The sequence below is a fragment of the Homo sapiens genome, chromosome 1 (genome assembly GCF_000001405.40).
Source record: "Homo sapiens chromosome 1, GRCh38.p14 Primary Assembly".
In the NCBI taxonomy this organism is placed as follows: Eukaryota; Metazoa; Chordata; class Mammalia; order Primates; family Hominidae; genus Homo; species Homo sapiens.
In genome coordinates this window covers 85,216,188-85,225,363 of record NC_000001.11, presented here as the reverse complement: position 1 = coordinate 85,225,363, position 9,176 = coordinate 85,216,188, and the positions used below count along the sequence as shown (strand labels likewise).

At 39.6% G+C, this 9,176-nt stretch overlaps 1 annotated feature.

Annotated features, from left to right (window-relative positions):
• Positions 80–240: a silencer, noted in NCBI's record as "fragment chr1:85690807-85690967 (GRCh37/hg19 assembly coordinates)". NCBI's record gives its function as "represses an EF-1alpha promoter that drives an FKBP-Casp9 reporter gene in an ReSE screen in HepG2 liver carcinoma cells {active_cell/tissue: HepG2}" and the evidence as "EXISTENCE:reporter gene assay evidence [ECO:0000049][PMID:32094911]".

The window sequence follows — 9,176 nt, the reverse complement described above, 5'->3', positions numbered from 1 at the left end:
CCAGTTGCTCTTGAGGCTTCATTATTGACAAGGGCTATCAGGCTTTCCAAGAGGGTCTTATCTGCAAGCTGCAGCAGTTACTGCATGAGCTGCCAAACAGGTTCAGTGGGATTACACAGCTGCCTTGGAGCTGGAGGCCAGGCGGGGTGAACTCCCTGCTTTCTCTTTTCAAGGCCTGCAGGCTTTGACCTGTAAATAGGTGCCTAAACAGGGTCTAATCTGTCACACAAATATGCCTTAGCAAAAGTGGTAATGTCCCTTATTACCTGGTTTAGCAACGATTCCAAGACATATATTTAGAGAGGTACTTGTATAAATTGCTATACTTGAAGCTATGCCTGGTGTTTCTATAAAACTCTCTTAAGAGATGATATAATGGTTCACATTTTATTTATAGCAGCCAATGGAAACAAGGCCTTTCCTATAACCCCAGCTCTCAAGAGCAGTTCTAAAATAACAAACCAACATGTGCAATTTGAAGATATGCCCTTTAGGCTGAGCTCAAGTGTTCTGTTCTTAGGGGATTGCACTTTACCCTTTTGAGATGACTTCTCCCCTCTGCCTGCCATGATTTATGATCTTAATGCTTCTATTAAGAAACAGATTTCAATTTTTAGTTTTTTCTTGATAGTTCAGAGAACTATTTTCAATTTGTAAAAGTTAAAAAAAAAACCTCCTTAAAATTGGTGTAATCTTTGACATTCACAGTTGAAAAGTAAATTCCTAGCTAAGATTTGCTGTTTTATTCCTAAAAATTGGGACAGATTGGGTAAAAAAAATGCAAAGAGCTCTTTAAATGTAAGTTGTTTTGAAGGCTGTTTGGCAGGATGCTTGCAGAAAAATGTAATTAGAAGAGAGAGTAGGACTTCCACTCACCAAAGAATGTAAATATTTAAAATATCTCAGGCAGTTAGCACTTAATAATAACAAAAATCCTTATCAGAATAGCATTCTTCTTTTGAAGTGGGGAAGAATAACACCTGGTCATTCTGTTCTACAGTAGCAAGTCAAAGCTTGTTATTGGGAATGATATAGACTATTAAAACACTATCTTCCTTAATGTGCATTTCATTAATTAACTTTTCAATGTTAGTATTCTATAAAGCAAAACGGAAGCTATATATACCAATTATTTAAATCTATTCATAACTACCAGTTATTTAAAGCATATTTAGCATTTAATATATATGGCAAGGTACTCTTTTCTTGAGAGATATACTTTAATAGAACTGGCTCCATGGTGGTAGACAATAGTTAAATAGCCAATGTTAAACAATGACTTATTTTACCTTTTCTTTTTTAGTTAGGACAGTCATTTTGAAGGTATCATTTTGTAGCATATATTCAAGTCTGAAGAACTTTTCAACTTTATTTGCTTCCATAATTAGCTCTGTGATATGAAAGTGACAAGAATTGCCAGGTTTTCCAATTTAAAATATTGCCACAATTTTGATATTAAATGAACAACTTTGAGGCAATTTATTTTGTAACAACCTGAACTAATGTGAGACAGAAATAATACAGGGGTGGCTGCAGGAGAATAGAAAATTCCAGGCAGCAGTTTCACATGACTAGGAAAAGGAAACTGTTGAAATACCCACAGAAGCTAGGGGCTTATAAGATCCCCAAAACCAGGATGTAGATCACGCTGGCTAAGACCCAACTGGACCCAACATGGTGCTAGATTTGATCTAAGTTTCACCTAGGACCTTATTATATACTCATTAACATGCTAAATCACCCATCAGTGCCATGACAGTTCCAGGGACACCCATAGTTAATGGTTGACACAACAGTTCTGAGAAATCTCTACCTTTTTCTAGGAATTTTCATGAATATTCCACCCCTTAGTTAAAGAAAACCCTAAAGGTAGCTACCTCAAACCCCCATGCACGTGACTCTCTCTTATGTACGCCTGCACTCCCTTTTCTTGAGTGTGTATTTTTTGCTTTGCAGTAAATCTTCGTACTTTCACTACTTTCTGATTCATCGTTGAATTCCTTCTTACCATGTTGTCAAGAACCTGGACACTGGCCAGGGTCGAGGTCCCACCAGCATTTCAGGACCTCACCTATCCCGCTAGTATCAAATTGACACTGTTTATTTAACCTAAAACAAATAATTACAAGGTCTATAAATGATACTATATTATTGACACCATGGATTTTGTGGAGTATCTCAGTTTCAGAAATACTTTTTTTGCACAACCTCAGTCTGATTTATATGTCTGTTTTAAGGCCGCTGCCTTTTGCCTCACTCCTTTTCCATTCATTCATTCATTCATTCATTCATTCATTCATTCATCTATCCACCAACTACTATGTGCCAGGCCCTACGTATATGAAGAACAATATTTGAGCTGACACTTGAAGGATAAGTTGGGTTGTACCTGTGCTTGTTTTCTGCCCTCATGGAGTTTACATCCTAGTGGGAGAGACAGACAGTAAATAAGTAAAATATATCAACAAAGAAGATAATTACAGTTTGTGATATATGTTATGACCAGAAACTCTTTGTTACAAGGACATTTAAGCTTAGACCAGAGGGCTGAACAAGAGCCATGAATTATCTGCAAAAAGGAACTATTGTGCAAAGTCCCTGAGCAGGAAATCTTTGGCAGGTTTGGGAAACAAAAAGGTGACCAGCGTAGTGGGAGGGGGAGGGGGAGAGTGGTATGAAGTGAATACTATGATTTGAATATTTGTGTCCACTGCCAACCCACCATATGTTGAAATCCTAACTCCCGAAGTGATGGTATTAAGAGGTGAGACCTTTGAATGGGATTAGTGCCCTTATAAAGGAGGCCCAAGAGAGGTCTCTTGCCCCATCTACCATGTGAGGACACAGTGAGAAGGTGCCATCTATGAACCAGAAAGTGGGCCTTCACCAGACACCAAATCTACTACCACCTTGATGTTGGACTGCCCAGCCTCCAGAACTGTAATAAATAAATTTCTGTTGTTTATATGCCACCAGTTTATGGTATTTTGTTGTAGCAGCTGGAACAGACTAAGACACTGAAGATACAAAGGCAGGTAGAAGCCGCATTGTGCAGGCCCTCGTAGGCTGAGGAAGGGGGTTTGGAATGTATTCTATAAGCAATAAGGCCCTGAAGGGCTTAAGCAGCAGAGAGTTGGGGATGTGAAGGGGACAAGTGTTCAGGATCAAGTGTGTCACATGCAAAAATGTGGAGATATGAAAAAGCATGGCTGGGAGTGGTGGCTCACACCTGTAATCCCAGCACTTTGGAAGACCAAGGCAGGAGGATCGCTTGAGCCCAGAAGTTTGAGACCAGCCTGGGCAATATAGTGAGACCTCACTGTTAAAAAAATAGGATAAAATTTAGTCACACATGGTGGCACACAGCTGTAGTCTCAGCTACTCGTGAGGCTGGGGCAGGAGTACTGCTTGAGCCCGAGGTTAAGGCTGCAGTGAGCCAAGATCACACCACTGCACTCCAGCCTGGGTGACAGAGCAAGACCCTATCTCTAAAAAGAGAAAGAAATAAAAACTATGGAAAAATTGTTAAAATTTAGGAAAGAGCTCCTTGTTTAGAATTTTGAATGGAAATGGATATGGTAACTAACTTGAGCAGTTTTCTGCACTAAAATTTTGTCAGTAGTCAAAAGTTAAATGACAGCCCCTAAAGTCCAAAGCTTTAGAACATTTCACTATGCCAGTGAAATTAAGCATGTTTTCTAAATGGATTTATCATGTTCTGAGGACACATTAAATGAACTAAGTGAGCAACTTTGACCCACTGGTTGTCTTTCAAAGGACACAGAACAGTATCATTTTCTCCTTCCTTTTCTCTGGCCATAGGTAATTAGAAATCATTGGTGATTCTTATTTTTATTGGTTCAGAAATCACTGCCTCTCTAAAGGGTGCAGGGAGATCATTTATGGTGAAAGTGTCTATTTCCATGAATAAGAATTACATTAACAGGATGGAATTTTATATTAATAGGATGTTTGTGTTTGGGCAGAAATCCATTATGAGTTTCTAAAAAACCTTTCATTAAATTATGAATTCAATTTCAGCCTTTGCATTTCTTGCTTATACTGATGGCCATCTTCTCCATGTCTTCCCAAAGGGAGATTTCTGGCAGGCTCTTCCATTGATAAGCTTTCCAGTTATAACTAATCTTTCTGGTCCCTCTTTGCCTTTCTGTCTTGGCCTGTAATTGACCTCATTCACGCGTTTTCTTTAGCATACCAAATACTCTGTGTTTCTCCAGCAGTAGTTCTGGAATGTTTACATGGAGAATTAGTTTATAGTTTGGCTTATTCATTTGTTAACATAATGCTATGGAATGAAATCCTTGCTTTCCTTCAGCCTTGACAGGTCTTGGCAGTAACTGCTACTTCATTGTGATTTCCTTTTGGGGAAAAAGCACTCACTCCTCTTTCACACACGACCTCACCGCAGTCATTTCCCCGAATGGGATGTTAAACCTCTCCCTCTTCCAAGTCTTACTTAGGAGTTGATCTCACGTTCTTTTGAAGCAGACCCCTTGCTATTCCCAAGTACACGGTGTACTTTCCCACCTCTCTGCCTTTGTTCATGCTGTTCCACAAGGGTGGATACCTTCCCACTCATCTCTACCAGCCAACATCTGGGTCGTGCCTCCTTCACTGAATCTTTTTGGAACCCTTTAATCAAAAGTCTTTGTTTGATTTCTCAATGAGCATTTTTCCTAAGACTATGAAATGACCTGATCAGATTTTCCGAAGACAACAGCTAGAACTCAAGATTCAGTAAACAAAGGGATAAGCCTGTGGCTAGAGTGGGGGGTAAAAGAACTAGGTATTTGGGGAATTAGTAAGATATAGAAGGAAAGCTTTAGCTTTCAAATCAGATTTTTTTTTTCATGTGAATTCTAAAAGTCAGTTACCACTTCTGTGACCCTGGATGACTTACTTTCCCTCCCTGAGCCTGTGAAGTTGAGATAGCAAGTCCTATTTCTCAGAGTTATGAGGATAAATGAGATGATATATGACTTAGTGCTTGTCACGGGTTTGGATCTCCAGAAATGTTAGTTTTGCCTCACTAGATTCTATATGGGAAGAGATCAGGGAGGGACCCCAGTCTGCAGCTATCCAAAGAAGTGGGATGCCAGGTAGTATCAAGTATAAATAGTAGGTTTGCAGAAGACTAAAGTCAGCCCATAGGAACTAGTTAGAAATTCAAAGCACAGGGATTAGAAAAGTTGAATATGTGTATCCTTAGCCTTGGTATTGTGGCTTTCATTGGCCAATAGAAGGCAGCAGAAATGACATGTCAGTTCCAAGCCTATGCCTTTAGAGGCATGCCACAGGTAGCCACTGCTCCTTCAGCCAGGCAGCAGAGTGAGGCATGTGTAGCCAAGCTGACCTGTAGTCTGATAGCAGAGCTGCCCCAACTGATCTGCAGACCCATCAGCCAAAAGTAAATATTCATTGTTGTATGCCCCTTATATTTTGTGGTTGTTTTTATTATACCGTTATTATTGCACCAATAGCTAATTCACCTCTCTTCTTATCTGTTAGTTCAATGGCATGAGGAGCCCAAAATTACCAGGTGATAGTTTACACCTGAATTACACCTGAATTACAATTCAATGAGATATTTTTGTGTCCCTTGATGGATGCATTCCTTTCACGGGGACTAAGGCCTCTAAGCCAACAGAGCACAAAGTTTCAGGGACAGGAAGCACAAATTCTGTGAGAGAGTTGAGACATAATAGTGAGAAGAACCTCTACCCCCTCCTGCTACGCTTTGATTCTGGGACTCCTATATTGTTACTACGGTATAAACAATATCCTATATTGGTTGCTGATACAAAGCACATACTCCATTTTGTAAAATAGAAAGAACATCACCCTTTCACAGGAGGTTGTCTCCCAGTTGGCACCAAAACTAAGCCTTCAGGAGGTCATTCAACCATTTCTTTCTTTCTCTTTTTTTCTTTTGAGACAAGGTCTCGCGCTGTTACCCAGGCTGGAGTGCAGTGGAGCAATCTTGGCTCACTGCAGCCTCTGCCTCCCAGGCTTAAGTGATCCTTCCTCCCCAGCCTCCCGAGTAGCTGGGACCACAGGCGCACACCACTGCACCCAGGTACTTTCCACCATTTCTAGTAGGTTATCTGCTTCTGGGTGATGGGATAAGTGTTAAGACCATGAAATCTGAGCACGTATCCTATGCTATCTGTCTTTTATTGAACTCCTTGAACAGAATCAAAGTTATGACAGAGAATAAGGCATTCTGTAAAGTCCACAGATGATGGTACTGGCAGATGTGTTGTAGGAAGGAAATGCAAATTTATATTATGAATATGTTTCTAGTCCAGGGAGAACAAATTCTCTCCATGTTGGAAGGGATCCAGCACCATCAGCCTGCTACCAAGGTGCTAGGCTCCTCCAGATGAAGGTTGCTGTTCTACAGACTCAGTGTGGACTAGGCTGATGGCAGATTAGACTCTCAGCAGTTGTTAACCAGGTCAGTCTTGTTAAGAAGAAAAACATGCACTTCATTCTACCAAATAATTTCATTGAAGAAATGAAGGAGGAGCAATGGAAGTGGTAAATATTTAGGTTAACATAGTAGACTAGTATTTACCTTTTAAGTTCTTCAAAATATATTTGATGGTTGAAAGGAAAACTTTTGAGGCTGGGTGCGGTGGCTCATGCCTGTAATCCCAGCACTTTGGGAGGCCGAGGCGGGCAGATCACCTGAAGTCAGGAGTTCGAGACCTGCCTGGCCAACATGGTGAAACCCAATCTCTACTAAAAATACAAAAATTAGCTGGGGTGATGGTGGGCGCCTGTAATCCCAGGTACTCGGGAGGCTGAGGCAGGAGAATCACTTGAACCCAGGAGGTGGAGGTTGCAGTGAGCTGAGAATGTGCCATTGCACTCCAGCCTGGGCAGCAAGAGAGAAGCTCCACCTCAAAAAATAAAAAAATAAAAATAAAAATAAAGCAAAATTTTAACATTCTCTGATGGGGTTTCAACATATGTAGATATAAGAGATAAGACTATTATAAAGCAGGGAGGGCAAGAGGACCTGTATGTTGGGAGGTTTCTATATTCCACTTGAAGTGGTAAAATATTGATTTTAAGTGGACTGTGGAAAGTTAAGTGTGTATATTATTCCCCAGATGAACTAATTAAAAAAAAAAACTATACAAAGAGATAGAGTCCAAATTGCCATACATCAAAATGGAGTATGAAAAATTATTCAAAAACCCCAAAGAATAGAGAAAATGGGAAACAATAACAGAGAGAACACACAGAAAACAAATAATAAAAGGGTGGACCTAAATCCAAACATATGAATAATTTTCATTTTTTATTTTTTTTGAGACAGAATCTTGCTCTGCTGCCCAGGCTGGAGTGCAGTGGCGTGATCACAGCTCACTGCAGCCTCTGCCTCCTGGGCTGAAGTGATCCTCCCACCTCAGCCTCCTGAGTAACTGGGGCAACAGGCACATGCCACAACACCCAGCTAAGTTTTGTATTTTTTGTAGAGACAGAGTTTCACCATGTTGCCCACGCTGGTCTCAAACTCCTGGGCTCAAGTGATCCACCTGCCTCTGTCTCTCAAAGTGTTGGAATTACAGGCGTGAGCCACTACCCTAGCTGAAACATATCAATAATTTTACTAAATTTTTGCAGATTGAACACTCCAATCAAATTTATTTCTAGTGTCATTTCTCTTTTATCTGAAGAACTTTATTTAAAATTATTTTAGAGCTGGTCTACTGGCAATGAATTATCTTAGTTTTCCTTCCTCTGAGACTATTTTTATTTCACTTTATTCCTGAAAGAGTGCTATGGGGGTATATAATTCTGAGTTTCTAGCTCTTTTCTTTCAACATTTCCTTCTGATCTGCAAGGCTCAAATCTGCAGTCATTGAAATCACTGTCCCTCTTATAGGTATGCATCATTTTTCTCTAGCTGCTTTTAAGATTATTTTTCTTTGTCTTTAGTTTTTAGGAGGTTGATTATAATTTCTGGGCATGGATTTCTTTGGCTTTATTTTCTTCAGAGTTCACTGAATTTTTAAAAATCTCTATGTTTATGTCTTTTGCTACACTTGTGAAGTTTTCAGTCATTACATCTTCAAATATTTTTCCAGCACCATACTCTTTTTCCTTCTGGAACTCTAATTACATAAGTTAGCCTTTGTTTTTTGTTTTGTTGTTGTTGCTGTTGTTGTTTTTTGAGACAGGTTCTCATTCTGTCACTCAGGCTGGAGTACAGTGGTATGATCACAGCTCACTGCAGCCTCAACCTCCCAGGCTCAAGTGGTCCTCCTGCCTCCTGAACAGCTGGGACTACAGGCATACACCACTATATCTAGCAAATATTTGTAATTTTTCTAGAGATGAGGTTTTTCCATGTTGCCCAGGCTGGGAAAGTTATACTTTTTGTTAGTAACTCACAGGCCCCTAACACTGCATTCATTTTCTAAAAGGAATTTTTTTTCTCTGTTTTTCAGATTAAAAGCTTTCCTTCTTTTCTTTTTCTTTCTCTGTCTTTCTTTCTTTCTCTCTTTCTTTTCCTTTCTTTTCTCATTCTTTTTTTTTTTTTTTTTTTGACAAAGTTCTCATTATGTTGCCCAGGATGGTCTCAAGCTCCTGAGCTTAAATGAGCCTCCCACTTCAGTCTTCCAAAGTGCTGGAATTACAGATGTGAGCCACTGTGCCTGGCCCAGATTGGAAAATTTATATTGACATATCTTTAAGTTCATTGATTCTTTCCTCTGTCATCTCCATCTTTTTTTTGAGCCTATTGAGTAAAAGTGGTTTTTTTTGGCCATTGTATTTTTCAATTCTAATATTTTCATTTGGTTCTTCTTCATATCTTCTTTTTTTCTGAGACTTTCTATTTTTCCATTTGTTTTAAGAGTGTTTGCAAGTGTTTGGTAAAGCATTTATATAATAGCTGTTTTAAAGTCTTTGTCAGATAATTCCAACATCTGTGTTAAGTTTGTATTAGTGTCTGTTATCATTTCCTAGGCAAGCTAAGATTTTCCTGGTTCCTTGTACACCAAGTAAATTTTAAATTACTATTATTTGTAGAGATGAGGTCTTGCTACGGTGCCCAGGCTGGTCTTGAACTCCTGACCTCAAGTGATCCTCCCACTTAAGTCTTCCAAAGTGCTGGGATTACAGGCATAAGCCATCATGCC